At 38.6% G+C, this 20,351-nt stretch overlaps 1 protein-coding gene across 20 annotated transcripts in view; it reads right to left on the bottom strand.

Annotated features, from left to right (window-relative positions):
• The window catches only part of BCKDHB (branched chain keto acid dehydrogenase E1 subunit beta), a 360,067-nt gene that overhangs the window by 159,191 nt on the left and 180,525 nt on the right, over positions 1-20,351 (bottom strand). Inside the window, exon 10 of one of the 20 annotated variants that reach the window (NM_001424040.1) lies at positions 18,725-19,043. The exons of the other annotated variants lie outside the window; for them this stretch is intronic. Coding sequence (NP_001410969.1) covers positions 19,029-19,043 — 15 coding nt within the window. The 3' untranslated portion in view covers positions 18,725-19,028. Of the gene's footprint in view, positions 1-18,724; positions 19,044-20,351 lie in introns of those variants that run through there. 20 annotated transcript variants of the gene reach the window in all.

Below are 20,351 nucleotides of genomic sequence, written 5' to 3'. Positions count from 1 at the left end.
CTGAAAAAAATGTAATAGAAAATCATTAGCACTGTGAAGCACAGAATATTGACAGAGGGGGCAGGTGGATTTAATATTGGATACAGTTCAATTTTAGAATATGGAAAAAAGAATATAAACAATTTATTACATTCCTATTAAATATCTGTCAATGCACAAGCCACTTTGTATATGTTAGCTCATGGAACCCTATATGTTAGCTATAATCATCCTCAGTTTACAAATAAGGAATTGAGATTTATATTTATACATGAAAATAAGTTTCTTAAGAAAACACAGCTATTAATAAGTAGTAGGTTCTAACTGCAGTCTGTATGATTAAATAAAGCTGTTTCTTCAAGGCCATTATGCCTCTTGGGAAAGAAAAGTTGGTGGTGAAGACAAGTTGAAGGACTAGGGAGCGAGTCTCAGACTTAGCTACTAGTTATGTAACTTAAATGATGAGAGAGGCTTGAGGACCCCGGCTCAATATGAGGAACATATCTGGGATATGCTGGAGGTTGGTCCAATGAATACTTCTGGAAACTGACTCTGACCTCACTGTAACCACCATCTAGGACTGTATTGTTCTTTACATGTACCAGTCACTTGCTTTCAGTTACCAGGTAGCCTCATATCAAGTCTCCAGAAGAAGAGCCTCCAGGAGGCATCAAGCCAACTTCCACAAGGAAGCTGGGGTCAGGATAAAGGAAATGAGAGTACTCAAGCCTGCTATGAATCCACAGCTGTAAGACTCCATGAAAAAATGAAAAGATATATCTCCATGTGACAGTATGCTGTGTCATCATCTGATTTATCTGTTTCCATAATTTTCTGTATCATTTGCCATTAAGGAAATGAAATTATTGATCTGATTTGTTGGTGTCTATCAACACACACTGTTGCCACACCTTGCAAAGGTTTTTAATTAACTGATTTCTGTGAATGGCTGGCTTATATGTTTATGTGTCCAGGACACTTACTCATTCATCAATCTCAGAGAAAATCCTATATTCTTTATGAAGTCTTCTGGACTGATTTGCTTAGGTTCACTCAGGCACCCTTTTTTTATGTTTAGACTGTACTATTTACATATCCCCATTGTAGTGGATCTCAGTAATCATGCTGTTCATTGAAAAATATCTCCCTAATAAACTGATAGTTATTTGACCTCCTAGACACTTTAAACCTCAGCCTATACCAGGTGTTCACTATTCACATGTTAAATAAATATGTTATTGTGTTTATCACTTAAGGTATGTACTATTTGAATACAATTTAACATTAAATTAAACTTAATGCAAAGTATTGTCAAAGAGTAACACAAGGATGAAAGCATTTTGATGAAAAGAATAAAGGTGTAAACAAAATGAAAAGAAGAGCTAATACTTGCTGAGCACTATGTGCCAGGTGATGTTCCAGTTTTACATGTATTAATTCACTTAATCTTCACGATAGCCATATGGAAGAAGTACTGCTATTTTTTCCATTTTCCAGATGAGAAAACTGAAGCAGAGAAAGATTAACCACCCAGCAAATAAGAAGTAGTGCTGAGATTTGAATTCAGGCAGGCTGGCTCTAGATTCACTGCTGAATCACTGTCAAAGTCCTCCCTGTATTAGGCATTATTATATTCCTTGTCATTTAATCCCCAAGAGCAGTTCAGTAAGATAGGAGGAACATCCTAGGAGGACAAGTCAAGTTAAATCAACCTCATCTGGTCCCATGGTAGGTGAGAGGCAGAACAGGTGTCATCAGTGCTGTGTGTTTTGGGGTCTCTTAAGGGACAGAGACAAGTGATGTCCACAACATCTACATGTGGGGGGCTCCTTTGCTTCAACATGTAGCAGAAATCAGCCCTCACTCAGTTCTTCTTTGGAGTATCTTGGTTATTTTGGGCTCTTACTCATCTACAACATTTTAGAATCAATTTGTCACATTTCAAGAAAAAAAGAGAGCTTGATTTTGTTATAACTTGGACAGACCCTAGAGAGCCATTAAATAACAACTTAAATTGCAATAAATGTCTCTAGCTATGAATACAGTCTTTTAAAAAACATTTTTAAATTTTTTTTAATTAAGTCATAATTTTTCAAAAAAAAACCCACTTGGTTTTCTTAGAAATTGGACTGACTCTAGAGATCCATTAAGCAACAACTTATATTGCAATGAATCTATCTGTGAACATAGTCTTTTTTAAAAAATGTTAATTATTTTAAGTCATAATTTTTCCATAAAGGTCTCAAATGATTTTTTAAAGATTATCCCCAGATACCTATAGTCACTACCATAGATACTGATGTTTTTTAAAGTTTTTATTTTCAATTTGTATTGATGTTTATCTATAGCAACATTGTTAAACTCCAATTAATTCTAATAAGCAGTATATATGGCCTAAATTAGATTTTCTATGTAGAAAATCATATTCTGTCAATGAACGGCATTTTTATTTCTTTTACCTCCTGTCCTAGGACATCGAGTACAACAATAAATATAATTAGTTTCAGTAGGTTTCATGGTTTCTGATATTAAAGCTAATGCTTCCAATATTTTACCATTAAATATAGTGGTTGTTACAGGTTTTTGGTAGATAACCTTTATCAGGTAAAGGAAGTTTCTAATTTCTTCTTTTAATGATAAGCTGGTACTTAATGTTACTAAATGCTCTTTCTGCATGCACTGAAATGGTATAGTTTTCTTTTTAGTCAATCAATGTAATAAATTATATTAATACAATGTCTAATGTTAGGTCAATCTGCCATTCCTGGAATAAACCCAACTTGGTCTGGAAAACTTCTGGATTCAGTTTGCTATAAAAACTTTGCACCTATGTTTCTGAGTGAGATTGATTTACAGTTTTGTGTTCTTTAATTATCCTTGTCTGGTTTTGAAGTTACACAAAATTTATAAAATGAGATGGGCTAGGTTTTCTCATCAATCTTCTAGAACACTGTGTATAAAACATTGAGCTCCAGTAAAACTTACCAATAAAATCAATTGAGCCTAGTGCTATCATTAAGGAAAAATAAGCTAATGGTTCAGTTTCTCTCATGCTATAGGAAGATTTGAGTTTTCTTTTTCTTCTTGAGTCACCTTTAACAGTTTTCACTTTGCTAGGAAAGTCAGAATTTTTAGGAAACATTAGAGAATAAAAATGTATTGCAAACTTAGCCAGATTCAGAAATTCAAAATCCAAAATGTAGCAATGGCAAAAGGTATTAACCAATCTCTACCCCACCCCAACTCTGCCTAGGATAACAATGACCCAGATCTGCCAAAAGCCTACTACAAGTGAAGAATCTTCCAACTGAAGAATGTACAAAAATACCACAGTATTGCTCACATGTCTACTTTCTTATACTGTGTTCGAATTTTCACAAGCATAAAGTATTTGATTTTATCAGGATGTAACTACTTCTGAATTAATCACTTACTACCATAGACTTATCTTCAGCAAATTATAGACTATTTCCTAAACCCTATTTCTTTCTAATATTCCTCTGTTCACAAAAATTCACATAAAATAATCTTTCATTTCATTCCATGTCTTACTTTTTCCCTATTAAATTACTAATAACTTAAAGGAATATGGTGATCAAATTTCCTAAAGCTATGACATTAAGTAAATTCATGCCTCACTCAGAATTGAAATGACTCATTTAAGGTAACAGACCACTTCTCTAGTGGTCTCCATTCTTTCAAAGGAGAGGGAGTTAATTAGAGGTGTCATAAAGTGATGCTTTGTAAATTTTTAACTCAAGTTCCTTAGGTCTATTTGCTGTGCCCTACCTCTCTTTACAGAAGTTTAAAGGAAGAAATGATGAGTTGCTGAAGCAGATCACACACACACACACACGCATGGATTTTATGTACTTATCTATTTTTAATTTCACACGGATTTATAATCTATTTCTGCTTGACATAGATGAACGCCAAATGCTCAATTTCAATTGTGTCAGTATCCTTTCTGGCTCTTATGCAGAAGCTTGTGTCCATCCATGTTTAGGTTGGTGTGGGCATGTTCCCAGGCATTTGAAGAAGTTGAAAGGAGATCAGGAGAGATCAAAGCAGATGAGATGGGAAACTGTGTTGGATGTTCTCTAAGGTTCTTTTGTCTGTCATCTATTTTTGCCAGACTTATTCAGTTACAATATGTAAGTGAACTTAACTCGTTAAATAAATTAAAAAACTTTCTTTCTCCATCTAGCCTGCAGGATTTATTAGAGTGGCTCCACCTCGATGCCAGTGGATACTGACATAAGATTATGCAAATCCGCTTCCTAGAACTTAAGGCATAATAAATATATATATATAAAGCATTTAATGCTAAATTAAAAAATAAAAGATTACGTAAATCCAACTAACTGAAGCCATACAATACAAAAGAATTACCCTTTGAGTTCAGGTAATAGGTGAGGACTTTTCTGTATATGACTTGACTTTACTTCCTACTTTTAATAAATCAAGTCTTATCAGTATTTTTCTCTGTGCACACTGGAAATTCTGCTCTTTTTTTAAGCATCATTATCCCACTTAAGCTAACACTAACATTTGTGAATCTCAAACATGAGTGCTGCCACCTCCACAGATCTGAGTTTTCCAATAAAGCTGCTTCATTCCATATGTTCATATTGCAATGTTTGTTTTACAGCATAGCTCATATTTCATTTTATTCCAAAATTTTGTCTCAGCAAAACTTCATGGAATATTTTCTCTTTTTCCTTTAACAGTGTAATGGGACAAAACAACAAATCCAGAATATGGTTTAAAGCTAAACAAATGGATAAGTGCAATCGATAGAAATAACTGGTTGTTGTGTTTAAAATTCGACCAGCTAGAAAACTCAAGCTCATTTGGTTTGCACTGACATATAACAAATAAGCACTGTGCTTGTTTTATTAGAAAACACTTTTATCACCTACTTGACAACATAGGTTTTGCCAGGAAAGTCAGCATTTTGAACATCCAATCCTCTAACATGTCTCATGTTGATTATGTCATGATTACAGAACTAAACATTTTGCAAAAGGAAAAGGTATGTAATAAGCCTTTTGCAAAAGGAAAGCATCCTCACAACATCATTGCAAAAATTTGTAAGAAAAAATCTAAAAGTTGTTTTAAAAATAATTTAGTATATATTTCAATTAGACATTACTGTATATAGAAATGCTACTGATTTTTGTACATTGATTTTGTATCCTGAAACCTTGCTAAAATTGTTTATCAGTTCTAGTAGCCTTTTGGCAGAGTCTGTAGGGTTTTCTAAGTATAAAATCATATTTTTAATGAAGAGAGCCAGTTTGATTTCTTCATTTCTTATTTGAATGCCTTTTATTTCTTTCTCTTGCCTGATTGCTCTGGCCAGGACTTCCAGTACTATCTTGAATAGGATTGGTGAGAGTGGGTATCCTTGTCTTGTTCCGGTTCTCAAGTGGAATGGTTCCAGCTTTTGCTCATTCAGTATGATGTTAGCTGTGGGTTTGTCATAGATGGCTTTTATTGTTTTGAGGTATGTTCCTTCAATGCCTAGCCTATTGAGGGTTATCATAAAGAGATATGAATTTTATCAAAAGTTTTTTTTGCATCTACTGAGGTAATCAGTAGATTATCCCAGTAATTCTTTTAGTTCTGTTTGTGTGGTGAATGACATTTATTGATTTGCTTACATTGAACCAGCCTTGTATCCCAGGAATAAAGCCTATTTGATCATAGTGTATTAACTTTTTGATGTGCTACTGAATTCGGTTTGCTAGTATTCTGTTGAGGATTTTTGCATCTATGTTCATTGGCTTGAAGTGTTCTTTTGTTGTTGTGTCTCTGCGAGATTTTGGTATCAGGCTGATGCTGTCTTTGTAGAATTAGTTAGGGAGAAGCCCCTTCTCCTTGATTTTTAAGCAGAGTTTCAGTAGGATTGGTACCAGTTCTTTGTATGTCTGGTAGAATTTGACTGTGAATCTATCTGGTTCATGGCGCTTAATGATTCAATTTCCTAACTTGTTATTGGTCTGTTCCAAGTGTTCACTCTCTTCTTGGTTCAATCTTTGGAGGTTGTATGTTTCCAGGGATTTGACAATTTCCTGTAGATTTTCTAGTTTGTGTGCACAGAATTGTCCACAGTATTCTATGAGGATCTCTGTGGGATCAGCTGTTATGTCATCTTTATAAACTCGAATTGTACTTATTTGGATCTTCTCTGATTTTATTCTTTGTTAATCTAGCTAGTGTTCTGTCAATCTTATTGTTTTTTTGAAGAACGACCTCTTGGTTTCATTGATCTTTTGTATGGATTTTTGCATCTCAATCTCATTAAGTTCTCTAATTTTTGTTATTTATTTTCCTCTGCTAGCTTTAGGGTTGTTCTTTTTTTTTCCTTCCTAGTTCCTTTAGGTGAAAAGTTAGATTGTTAATTCGAAACCTTTCTAACTTCTTAATGAAAGCCTTTTAGGGCTATAAACTTTTCTCTTAACACTGCTTTGGCTGCATCCTAGAGATTTTGGTAAATTGTGTCCCTATTTTCATTAATTTCTAATTTTTTTTATTTCTGACAATTTCTATGTTCACCCAGGAGTTATTCAGGAGCAAATTGTTTAATTTATTTTGTGTAGTTATTCAGGAGCAAATTGTTTAATTGTATTTGTGTAGCTTTGAGAGCTCTTCTTGATATTGATTTATATTTTTATTGCACTGTGGTCTGAGAATATGCTTGGTATGATTTCATTTGTTTTTAAATTTATTAAGATTTGCCTTATGACTGAGCATGTGGTTGCTCTTAGAATCTATGTCCCACATGCACATGAAAATAATATATATTCTGCAGTAGTTGGATGGAGTGTTCTGTAGATGTCCATTTGGTCCAGTTGGTCACATGTTGAGTTAACATCCAGAGTTTATTAGTTTTCTGCCTCAGTGATATTTCTAACACTGTCAGTGGCTTGTTGAAGTCTCCTACTATTACTGTGTGGTTGTCGAAGTCTTTTCATAGGCCAAGAAGAAACTGTTTTATGAAACTGGCTGCTTCAATGTTGGGTATGTATACATTTAGGACAGTTATGGCTTTTTATTGGATTGTACCCTTTATCATTATGTAATGCCCTTCATTGTCCTTCCTTTTATTGACTTAAAGTCTGTTTTACTGATATAAGAATAGTGGCTCCTGCCCAGGTATGGTGGTTCACATCTGTAATCCCAGCACTTTGAGAGGCTGAGATGTGTGGATCGCTTGAGCCCAGGATTTTGAGACAAGCCTGGGCAACATGGTGAAGCCCTGACTCTACTAAAAACAACTAAAATTAGCTGGGCATGGTGGCACGGCCTGTGGTCCCAGCTATTTGGGAGGCTGAGGTGGGAGGATCACCTGGGCTCTGGAAGTCAAGGATGCAGTGGGCTGAGATCATAGCGCTACGCTCCAGTCTGGGCAGTGGGAATATGGTCCTGTCTTTAAAAAAAAAAAAAAGACTAGTGGCTCTTGTTCCTCTTTTGTTTTCCGTTTGCATGATAGGTCTTTCTCCATCCTTTTCTTTGAGTCTGTCTATGTCATTACATGTGATATGGGTCTACTGAAGACAACAGATGCTTTCGTCTTGTCTTTATATCAAGCCTGCCACTGTGTCTCTTTTAAGTGTGGAATTTAGCCCATTTACATTCAAGGTTGGTATGTATTATTTTAACCTTTTCCCCATGTTGTTAGCTATCTGTTATGTAAAATTGATTGTGTAGTTGATTTATAGTGGCTGTGGGTTATATACTTATATGTTTTCGTTGTAGCAGGTTTTGTTCTTTTGATTCCGTGTTTAGCACTCTTTAAGGATGTCTTTAAGACTGGTCTAGATGAAATGTATTCCCTCAACAATTGCTTGTCTGAGGAAGATTTTGTTTCTCCTTCACTTATAAAGCTTAGTTTGGCAGGATATGAAATTCTTGGTTGGAATTTCTTTTCTATAAAGTTTACTTTCTTAATAAACTTGCTTTCACTTTATGGACTCACCTCAAATTCTTTCTTGCACGAGATCCAAGAACCCCTCTCTTGGGGTCTGGATTGGGACCCCCTTCCAGTAACATCTTTCTGGTGACCCAGATGGAAAAATACTGAGGAAACCCCCGAACCAAAGGCTAACTTGAGGTAAGTGGTGGCGTCTGGTAACATCTTTCTGGCCAAACACAGAAGGGACCATATTGAGGAGACCCTCCGACCCAAAGGAAAATCATCTGCACACACACACCAACTGGCTGACTTTTGGGTAAGTGGGGTGCATTTGCCTGGGTAAAGAATGGGATTGGGTTAAAGACTCAATTTAGGGGAATTAAGAGTCTCTCCTAAGACAGAGTGGGTTAAAGGCCCCTCTTAATAAAAGGCAAGGATGCTTGAGCAAACTTGGTTTGAGGCTCAACTTAGGAAGGTTAGAGTCCTTCCTAAAATTTAGGGAGTTAGAAAGACCCTTTCAGTAAAGTACCTCTCAGTTAAGAATGGGTTTGGCACTATGGGATGTTAACTGGTATTCTCTTTGGATTAATCTGCCTTGCAATCTTTGTTGACGGCTATGGGTGACAGAATTAGGCATATACGGGACCATAGGACATGGGGCGCTTTTTCTCTCCCTAAAGGGGGAAACTTAAGAGCTGATGGGACTGCCAGAAAAGATCCTTTCATGACCAACAAACAGCAGACTGAACTTCTGATTCAGCGTTGGCTGCAATGAGTGGGTCTTTCTTTGGCCTCACTGAACTCTTCATCTTCCCCACCCTGCCACAGGCAACGCTTTCCTCTCTCTCCTTTCCTTTTCCAATCTTCTCTGTTACTTAGGGTGACCATCTTGCCCAGAGACCACACATTGAGAAATGTCCTTGGGAACATGAACCTGTAACCATGTGGCAGTACTTTCTTTTGGTCTCCATCATCACAATGGTGGCCTGGCTTAGGGAATGAGTCCTTTCTGATTTGATATCTGTTCTACCTTTACCATTTGTTAATTCTCCTCTCCTCCACAAAACTTGAATTTTTCCATTCTCTGAGCACTTGGAGGTTACATTTGGTAAAGCCCAAAAGCCAGACATATTGGCCACTTGGTATGGCTAAAATCAGGTAATAAGAAATTTAAAAGGGGCAGGCATGGTGGCTAATGCCTGTAATCCCAGCATTTTGGGAGGCCGAGGCAAGTGGATCACTTGAGGCCAGGTGTGACCAGCCTGGCCAACATGGCAAAACCCTGTCTCTACCACAAATACTAAAGTTAGCCAGGCATGGTGGTACATGCATGTAATCCCAGCTACTTGAGAGGCTAAGGTATGAGAATCACTTGAACACAGGAGGCAGAGGTTGCAGTGAGCAGAGATTGTGTCACTGCACTCCAGCCAGGGTGACAGAGTGAGACTCTGTCTAGGAAAAAAAAAGAAAGAAATTTAAAAGGGCATTTTTTAAAGAGTGCTATAGTTAAACATCAGCTTAATTAAAAGCATATATTCAAGCTCTAACAGCCTGGGACTCCTTGAAAAAAACAGAGGAGGCAGCACAGACCCTATTTTGGGGGAAAAAAAAAATCCTCTGTTTTTCTCATAAAAGCCCAGGAATTGGAAGTGGATAAATCCCTCTCAAAATTTAAGGCTCTGTTCTGTTTTGCACTGCATTGTGTGACATTTTTGACACTGGGGGCATCAGAAATTGCTTCACATTATGAGAGAGCTTTGGTATGTAATAACTAGGTAGGAAATATACTTTTGGGGCTAGCTAATGGCAGTTATGGGAGATACTCATCTCTGCAAGTATGGATCAGAGAAACATGGTCTTGGCCACCTACAAGTTATGGAAATGTCCTCACTCTCCACTGAGAGGTAAGATTCCCATGGGAGGCTGGTTAATTCCATCTTTTTGAGATCCAGGATCTGGTAATAAAAATGGGACCCTTAATTTTTGGAAATCAGTTTTGCTTTCCAGCTGTGTCTGCTTATTAGACCCTGGAAAAGGCATGCTTTAAAGAGAAACTTAAAAACTGGAAATGAAAAATCTTACAACTACTGGACCTTCTGTCTCTCTATGTATTTGTACATGGTGTGTGTGTGTGCGATGTTTATATATGAAAAAACTTTGATTAGTTTAAAAATAGTAAGTGCTTAAATCAAATAGTTTGTCAGAAAAGTAAAATGTGTAATGTCATTTACTTCATATGACTTTAGTAATCTTTTGGAAATGAAGGCAGTTTCAAAAATTATTGACAAAATAAAGATATCTTCAAAATTTAAACATTTGGTCCAAATTAGGCAGGTCAGATATTAGGTTTTCTAAGTAGTTTAGGGTCATAAACTGCTTCTTTGACTTTGGAAAACTGTTCAATTTACCTACATTGGATCATTGTGTATTACATAAGACCTGGGACATGTGGAAAGCCATGCCCCCTTGCTATGCTGGAAACAGTCGCCCTTATCTGCACTTCTGTCCATTGTCCTAGACTCCACACCTAGTACCTAATTAAAATCTCTTACCAAGGTTTTCATCAAAAGTAAAAGTCACTAAGAGTTAACGCTATAACACATAATTGAGACTACTAAAAACAGTTTTACATGCAAGCTGTGTAAAGAAAGTGAAATGTGTTTTTTGGTAAAAGATTATAAGAAGGCAGGGGAATGAGGATTTTTTTCCCTAAGATTAAAAGGTTAAATAATTGTTTTAAGTTAGATAAAATAAAGCTGAAGGTTTAAGCCAGTTGTGGAAGGTTTGTGAAAAATTAATTGTAAAAGAGATTCTGTGTGTGAACATATTGGCTAAAGTTAAAAGGGCATCATTCAGTTTTTCCATAAATTAAACATTGGAATAAAAGCACAACAGGTTTTTCATAGCACTGATCTGCTCATTAAAAAAAAATGTAAAGGGTTATAAAAGGTTTATGAGACTATTACCTTATGGTCAAATTAATTAAGGTTAAACAGATTTGTTTATAAGGTTTTATTAAAAATTTGGTTTATCAATAATAGCACACTAATGTAAAGGTAAAATTTGGCTTATTTGATATATTAAAATCATACAGGAGTGATGTTGTCTTTGGACTGTATTTGTATAAATATGTTTCATATGTGTTCCAAACTTATGGGAAACTCCTACAATTCCAATATGAATAACTGTATGTTATTAATAATTATAATGGCTACATAAAATCACTGTATGCCACAGAGGTAACCAAATTTCCTTGTCAATTGTGTTTTTGACTGTGGTTTTTTCCTAAGACATTTTATCATTCACAGACAATTGTTGTCTTGTTTTAATCCTCTTCAAAAGGTGGTTTATAATCAGCTATAAGACTTTGACAGGTGCACTTAAATGCAGGTTTCTGATAACTATGGTGATTGTAACATTAGAATAGAGGTAAAAAACTTTCAGGACTCTCATAGACAGGTGAAATGTTCATAAATATCAAGCAGAACAGGAGTTAACTGCATGAACTGAACTAATAGAACACTAAAGTAATCTTGTTGACTTTGCTTCAAACATTGCTGATCCTTTGTTTTGTTTTGCAGCATCAAGGAAACTTTTGAGGTATTAATAGCTTTTAACAATTGAGTAAAGTATACTCCTGTATTTTACATTACTGGTTTGGCTGTGCCCCCACTCAAATCTCATCTTGAACTGTAGGTTCCATAATTCCCACGTGTCATAGGAGGGATCCGGTGGGAGGTAACTGAATCATGGGGGTGGGTCTTCCCTGGACCATTCACATGATAGTGAATAAGTCTCACAAGATCTGATGGTTTTATAAAGAGGAGTTCCCCTGAACAAAATTTGGAGCGTATTTGTTTCTACCTACTTTCTCCAAATTTGCAAACTAGTTGTGAGTATTCTTAACTTATGACAATATACTTATTAGTGTAAGTGCAATAAGAATCTTTTTTTTTTTTTTTTCTGGTAACAGGACACAATTGGAGAAACTGGTTATTTTACCAAGTAATACGATTTGGCTGTGTCACCACTCAAATCTCATCTTGAACTGTAGCTCCCATAATTCCCATATGTCATGGGAGAGATCCGGTGGGAGGTAAGTGAATCATGGGGGCATGTCTTTTCCATGCTGTTCTGTGATAGTGAGTAAGTATCATGAGATCTGACGGTTTTATAAAGGGGAGATCCCCTGTACACACTCTCTCTTGTCTGCCACCACACGAGATGTGACTTTGCTCCTCCTTTGTCTTCTGCCATGATTATGAGGCCTCCCCAGCCATGTGGAAGTGTAAGTCCATTATATCCTTTATCCTTATAAATTACCCAGTTTCAGGTATGTCTTTATCGGAAGTATGAGAACACACTAATACAGTAAATTGATACCAGTATATCGAGGGAACCCACCCCCAATATATCAATGTAGTTCTTTCTATTTTCCATAAGTTCTGGCCAGCTGAGAAATAAAGAGAGACAGTATAAAGAGAGGAATTTTACAGCTGGGCTGCTGGGGGTGACATCACATATCGGTAGGACTGTGATGCCCACCTGAGCCTCAAACCAGCAAGTGTTTTATTAAGGGTTTCAAAAGGGGAGGGGGTGTAAAACTGGGAGTAGGTACAAAGATCACAGGCTTTAAAAGGCAAAAAGCAGAACAAAGATCACATGCTTCTGAGGGAACAGGACAAAAGGAAAAAGCAGAACCACTGATAAGGGTCCAATAAAGGTCACAAGCCAAAGGGCAAAAGGAGAACTACTGATAAGGGTCTATGTTCAGTGATGCATGTGTTGTCTTGATAAACATCTTAAACAACAGAAAACAGGGTTTGAGAGCAGAGAACCGGTCTGACCACAAATTTACCAGAGCGGAGTTCTTCCCCACCCTAATAAGTCTGAGGGTACTGCAGGAGACCAGGGTGTATCTCAGTCCTTATCTCAAGCACATAAGACAGACACTCCCAGAGTGGTCGTTTATAGACCTCCCCCAGGAATGCATTCCTTTCCCAGGGCATTGATATAAATATTCCTTGCTAGGAAAATAATTTAGCGATATGTCTCCTACTTGCACATCGGTTTATAGGCTCTCTGCAAGAAGAAAAATATGGCTCTTTTTGTCCAACCCCACAGGCGGTCAGACCTAACGGTTGTCTTCCCTTGTTCCCTAAAAGTCACTGTTATTCTGTTCTTTTTCAAGGTGCACTGATTTCATATTGTTCAAACACATGTTTTACAATCAATTTGTACAGTTAACACAATTATCACCATGGTCCTGAGGTGAAGTATATCCTCAGCTTATGAAGATAACAGGATTAAGAGATTAAAGTAAAGATAGGCATAAGAAATTATAAAAGTATTATTTGAGAACCGATAAATGTCCATGAAATCTTCACAATTTATGTTCCTCTGCCGCAGCTCCAGCCGGTCCCTCCATTCGGGGTCCCTGACTTCCTGTAACACCAGTAAAGTGAGATGCTATGTGAAAATGTGGAACTGACTTTGGAATTGGGTAATAGGCAGAGGTTGGAACAGTTTGGAGGGCTCAGAAGAAGACAGGAAAATGTGGGAAAGTTTGAAACTTCCTAGAGACTTGTTGAATGGCTTTGACCAAAATGCGGATAGTGATATGGACAATAAGGTCCAGGCTGAGGTGGTCTCAGATAGAGATGAAGAACTTGTTGGGAAATGGTGTAAACGTTACTCTTGTTATACAAGGAGACTGGTGGTATTTTGCTCCTGCCCTAGAGATTTGTGGAATTTTGAACATGAGGGAGATGATTTAGGGTATCTGGTGGAAGAAATTTCTAAGCAGCAAAGCATTCAAGAGGTGACTTGGGTGCTGTTAAAAGCATTCAGTTTTAAAAGGGAAACAGAGCATAAAAGTTTGGAAAATTTGCAGACTGACAATGCAATAGAAAAGAAAAACCCATTTCCTGGGGAGAAATTCAAGCCAGCTGCAGAAATTTGAATAATAAGGAGCCCAATGTTAACCACCAAGACAATGGGAAAATGTCTCCAGGGCATGTCAGAGACCTTCACGGTGGCCCCTTCCATCACAGGCCTAGAGGCCTAGGAGCAAAAAATGGTTTCCTGGGCCAGGCCAGCCCCTGCTGTGTGCAGTCTAGGGACTTGATGCCCTGCATTCTAGCCACTCCAGCTGTGGCTAAAAGGGGCCAAGGCACAGCTTGGGCTGTGGCTTTAGAGGGTGCAAGCCTCAAGCCATGGCAGCTTCCACGTAGTGTTAAGCCTGCAGGTGCAGAAACATCAAGAATTGCAGTTTGGGAACCTAGGCTTAGATTTCAGAGGATGTGTGGAAATATCTGGATGTCCAGGCAGAGGTGTGCTGCAGAGGTAGAACCCTCCGGGAGAAACTGTGCTAGGTCAGTGTGGAAGGAAAATGTAACATGGGAGTCCCCATACAGAGTCCCCACTGGGGTGCTCCCTAGTGGAGCGTGCGAAGAGGGCCACCGTCCTCTCGACCCCAAAATGGTAGATATACTGACAGCTTCCACTGTGCACCTGGAAAAGCCACAGACACTCAATGCCAGCCTGAGAAAGTGGCCAGGAGAGGGGCTGTACCCTGCAAAGCCACAGGGGCAGCTCTGCCCAAGACCATGGGAACCCACCTCTTGCATTAGCCTGACCTGGATGTGAGACATGGAGTCAAAGAAGATCATTTTGGAGCTTTAAGATTTGACTGCCTCGCTAGATTTCAGTCTTGTATGGGCATTGTAGCCCTTCTGTTTTGGCCAACTTCTGTTTGGAACGAGTGTATTTACTCAATGCCTGTAGCTCCACTGTATCTAGGAAGTAACTAACTTGCTTTTGATTTTACAGGCTCACAGGTGTAAGGGACTTGCCTTGTCTTGGATGAGACTTTGGACTGTGGACTTTTTAGTTAATGCTGAAATGAGTTAAGACTTTGGGGGGCTGCTGGGAAGGGATGATTGGTTTTGAAATGTGAGGACATGGTATTTGGGAGGGGCTGGGGTGGAATGATATGGTTTGGCTGTGCCCCCACTCAAATCTCATCTTGAATTGTAGGTTCCATAATTCCCACGTCATGGGAGGGACCCGGTGGGAGGTAACTGAATCATGGGGATGGGTCTTCCCCAGGCTGTTCACGTGACAGTGAATAAGTCTCACGCGATCTGATGGTTTTATAAAGAGGAGTTTCCCTACACATGTTCTCTTTTGCTTGCTGCCTTGTAAGACCTCCCCTGCTCTTCCATCATGATTGTGAGGTCTCTCCAGCCATGTGGAACTGTGAGTCAACTAAACCCCTTTCCTTTATAAATTACCCAATATCAGGTATGTCTTTATCAGCAGTGTGAGAATAGACTAATACACCAAGGCTTTAACTGAAATGGTGTGCTTTCCTTTGAGGAATCAAACTTAACTTATAGAGCCAATAAAAGACCCTTGGGAAAACTGGCCTCATACCTTGTCTACACAGTTCCTGTACAGGGTTCCTGACCTGTGGTAAGTAACAAAATGTCACTGTATGACAGGCCCAGGAGCCCCAAGTTATCTTCAGACCATAAAAGGAGGGGAATTTACCCAACTCCTAGGTCCTTGAGGGTACAAACCCATGGCAGGGCTCAGCTTTTAAGAAGTCTTATCTAAGATTCCTTTCATGGAACAGAGTTCCATCAAAGCCAATTTAAAAACAGCTTATGTGAAAAATAATTATTCTTGCTGCACTTTATACAAATAGGCCAAGTATAATAAAACAACTTGGTCTTACCACTATGTCTTTAGTAAAAATATAAAACTGAAGAGACGAAAAAAATTATGTTTCAAGAACTGTGGTACACTTGTTATTAAATTCTAGTCTCATCAGTTATTTTTGAGGTTTTTCCTACAATTTAGACTAACCCTGCTTACTCCTGTGAACCAACCAGTGATCTCTGGCTGCTACTCAGAAAAAAAAACAAAAGGGATGGATAATGTAGAAATTAGATCAATATTCTAATTCTGGACACATAGTGGAATCAGCTAGTAACCCCATATCAGCTTGGTTCCAGCAGTTGCCGAGTTCATGGAAAACCTTCTTATTTAGTTTACTTGGGATAATTTTGCTGATCTTGCTTTACCATTGTGAAATATATTGCTGTTGTACTCTTTGTGCAGGAATGCAGAATAGTCTTACTGAATGTTTTCTTAAATACTTATTAATATTCCAGATATCACATTCTGTCAGAACTCAAGAATTATAAATGGCCCTTGACATACCGATGATTTCTGACTGAGCTCCTCTCTACCCTGAATGCAAGACACCCTGACAATTAGAGAGGAATGTCATCGCTTCTTTTCAGCATCAAGAAGTTACAGAAGATTGATCTTCATCCCTCTGTAACCCTTAAGATTAAGGGTTCTTTTAAGGGAGGGGAGAAATGTCAAAGGCGTTTGAACCAGAGCAACTCCATCTTGAATAAAGGCTGGGTAAAATAAGGCTGAGACCTACTGGACTGCATTCCCAGACAGTTAGGCATTCCAATTCACAGGATGAGATAGGAGGTTGGCACAAGGTACAGATTATAAAGACCTTGCTGATTATACAGGCTGCAGTAAAGAAGCTGGCTAAGACCCACCAAAACCAAGATGGCAATGAGAGTGACCTCAGGTCATCCTGACTGCTACACTCTCACCAGCACCATGACAGTTTACAAGTGCCATACAATGTCAACAAGTTACCCCTATGTGTTCTAAAAAGGGGAGGCATAAATAATCCATCCCTTGTTTAGCATATAATCAAGAAATAACTATAAAAATGGGCAACCACCAGCCCTTGGGGCTGCTCTGTCTATGGAGTAGCCATTCTTTTATTCTTTTATTCCTTTACTTTCTTAATAAACTTGCTTTTTCAATTTATGGACTCATCTTGAATTCTTTCTTGCAAGAGATCCAAAAACCCTCTCTTGGGGTCTGAATTGGGACCACTTTCTGGTAACAAATTCTTGTGCTGGATTTCAAAGGAGCATATAGTAGTGGGATAAATTTTTGGTGCTGTAGTCTCAATGCAATCCATTAGATGGTGCTTAGGAGTAATGGCCATTAATTAGGTAAGTTAATACCCCACCATGAGGCTCTTTCGTTCTTCCTCATGTTCCCAGGCATGCTCCGCAGTGGGCGGGGGAGAGACATGGCCCCCTCACCAGGTCTGCTCCTGGGCCTTGGGGGAGCCTCCTTCCAGTCACTGATGCTGTGCCCATGTTTCTTTTGTTAGGTGTTTCAGGCTCTGGGGCCTTCTTGATCAGGGGCTGCAGGAGGAAGATATGCCTCACTATCTCTGGATCAACTCTGTGGAGGTAGGCATACCCTGCTCCCCTCCCACCCCAGCCCAGTAACCTGAAGATCTTGCCCCCTTCTACCTGACTTGAGTGCTGGCCACAGATCTTGGCTACTTACTCCCAAAATGCTGCATGAAGCAGCCCTGGGGGCACTGGGACAGCCTGTGGATTAGGTTGGCATTCCAGCTGTACTGGGAGGATCCAATGTGCTTCCAAGTCACTAGGAAAGTACTCAGGTAGAGCAACATACTCAGGCTGTGCTGCAGGGGCTGTGCTGTGCACTCACTCCTACAGGGTGGCTAAGCGTGACCCTGGGTGGGGCCAGCAGGCAGGAAGCCTTGCAGAATAGATGTGCTCTAGTCCCACAGGGAAGCTGGTTTCACTCTCTCCTAGCTTGAAGGTCAGCTGGGGTCCACACCTCCCAGAAAGGGATGAAGAGCCCTCCCCACAGAGCAGCTCTATGGCTGCTCTCTGCTGGAGCTCCCCAGTGCACGAAAACTTTTGGGCTCCATGCTGTCCAACGGCCTGTCTCTGCCTGCTCCCCAGGGAGATGCCCCTGTCAGCTCACACATCCAGGGGAGACACGGAGTTCTGTAACTAGGATCTAGGATCCCAGAGGCTGGCGGTGAGAGTGAGCTTTCCCTCAGTTCCTCATTCACCCCTTTCCCAAGAGCCATTCGGGGCTGGGAACTAGCCCTGGTATTCAGGTACCCAGCACAGGGCTGCCAGCTTCCTTACTCTTCACCCTTCATTTTAACATTGCCTCTCAACCCAATCTGAGCATTTTCTCTCCGAAGATCTGCCCAGATTACAGTGGTTTACTCTAAAATTTGGTCTCTCTCAGTGGGAGCTGCACTTCCTGGCTGCATCTAGTCAGCCATCTTAACCTTATGTCTCCTTTGATCTTTTTGCTATTAATCAGTGCAGTTTGATAATCACTTCATCTCCTGATATACTTGGCAGTCTCACTATTTCAAAGAAGGGAGAAGTTCAACAATGTACTATGTATAACCCGTAAAGTACTCATGGAATCAATTTTAAAATGGCTATTTTTAGCTCGCATTTTAGATTCTGCAATGAAATTTTATATGCAACCATACTGTCTAAAATGCCTTACCAGAACCATAAAAAGAACAATTAGAAGAACTACTCTTTCCTCACAAAAAGCAAGGAAATATATGAGTAAGTTCTAGATATACATGAATTGGCCATTCAATAATCCCTCAATGAGGGCTTAGCAAATCTATGTTTTGAGAAAACAGCTCTGTGTTTACTAGAATTTTAAAATGTGACATCTATTTATATACACACAGATATGCTCTGTCCCCTTAAACAAAATGCTCACTTAACCATTAATGCTCCCTACCCCTCCATCCCTGCCCCTAAGCTTCCCAATACTATGTGTTACTTACTCAGCCATTCCACACATGAACAAAGACCAGGCAATGAAAATCAACCCTTAACTCTCAGAGTAATATCTGAAAAGGCTGGGCATTTTCACAGTATTTAAGAAAAAAAAATACACATATATATGGTATATATTTATATATACATATATGACTAACTTTAATTATAATACAAGTTAGTTTAAAAACCTTAAGACAAAGTACAGTCGGCTTAGGCAATCACATATTGCAGCATTATTTTATGAACAGAAGATCACTCAGGGGAGGGGTATCTACACAGTTGGCAAATACTCATTATTCCAGTTTCTTTAGGAAGTCATGTCCTTATTTTAAATATACATTTCAAGTATATTTAATGTCATATTTATTTGCTTCTAAATCCCTGTTTTCTATGAGATCCTGATCTTGCCAAATGGGCTTTTCTCATCATATTTTTCAAAAACGTAGACCCTAAGGTTGATGAATAACAACATGTCAGTATGCCATTAAACAAATTTTTATAGAATTTCAGGCCTTTAACAATATGATTTAATGAAAGTGAAGTTTACTGAAATAATAAATGCTTAACAATTCTCCCTAGATCCTTAATTCACTATTAAATAACAGTGTAATTTGCCCCTTTAGCAATTATTTGAAAACACCATGCTTGTAAAACTTTAAAAGTTGTTATTAATAGAAAGGATCATTTTTTCACTTACTCGAGCAGCTAAAAAGTAAAAGGCATACTAAATCATATAATTATATTTTATCTTCATTTTGTGCGTAATACTAACTACTAACACCCAATTTGGAAAAAAAAAGCTTTTAAGTTATTTAGGAATCATTGATATTATCGAACTACTGAGGATTATTTAATTTCCAACACAACAAATTGTAAGTCATTCAATGATTCTCGAGTAGTTTGTCACTAACTAAGAATAAATTATAGAAGTGAACAAGAAGCAGTAGCTACTGGCAAAGAAACCTCAAATTTTTCTTTGACATTGAAAGGAGTTAACCAGCTTGCTTTAGGCAGAAAGTAAGGGAAGGGTCCCAGGCAAACCTCTGACCCATGTTTTGTGCAGATAAGGGAACGTGCACAGGGGGCTTGTCTAAACATGCCCTCAGCAGACTAAGTGCCCACATGCGTCCAGGGGGAATGGGGTGGAGCCACCAGGAATTCCCACCTTATACAAACAGGGAATCCAGCTCCATCAAGCTTTTATATAAAAGCCCTTGTATTCAAAACTGGAAGGGAACAACCAGGAACCTGCTTTACAGGACCCATCTCTTTGCTGAGAACTTTCCTTTTGCTTAATAAATTCTGTTCCACTCACTCTCTGGTGTCTGCACGCCTAATTTTTCCTGGTTGGGAGACAAGAACCTGGACCTAGCTGAGCTAAAAGAGCAAAAATCCTGTATCAACATTACATTAAAAAAAAAAATCACTGAACCAAGGAATAGCATTTATATTCTTGATCTTTTTTAAAGTTCTCAGACATTAAGAGGCCTAAATTTGATTTAGAAAAATTGCTATATAGTCCTAACTCCATTATCACTAATCTCTTAAATTTTAATTGCATACTATGGTGGCTGACATATTCCCATTAAGTAGCATGAAAACTATGTAAGTGAACATCCTGGTTTACATCAAACAACCTCACTTTATGTCTGTTGTCCCACTACAGAAGACAAAGTATATGGTCATCATTATTCCATTACCAGCTTGGGATCTCTCTGACTCTATGCAAGCTTCCTGTTTAGGCAAGTAAATAAGAA

The sequence above is a fragment of the Homo sapiens genome, chromosome 6 (assembly GCF_000001405.40).
Source record: "Homo sapiens chromosome 6, GRCh38.p14 Primary Assembly".
In the NCBI taxonomy this organism is placed as follows: domain Eukaryota; kingdom Metazoa; phylum Chordata; class Mammalia; order Primates; family Hominidae; genus Homo; species Homo sapiens.
This window is presented reverse-complemented; position numbering and strand designations above follow the sequence as displayed.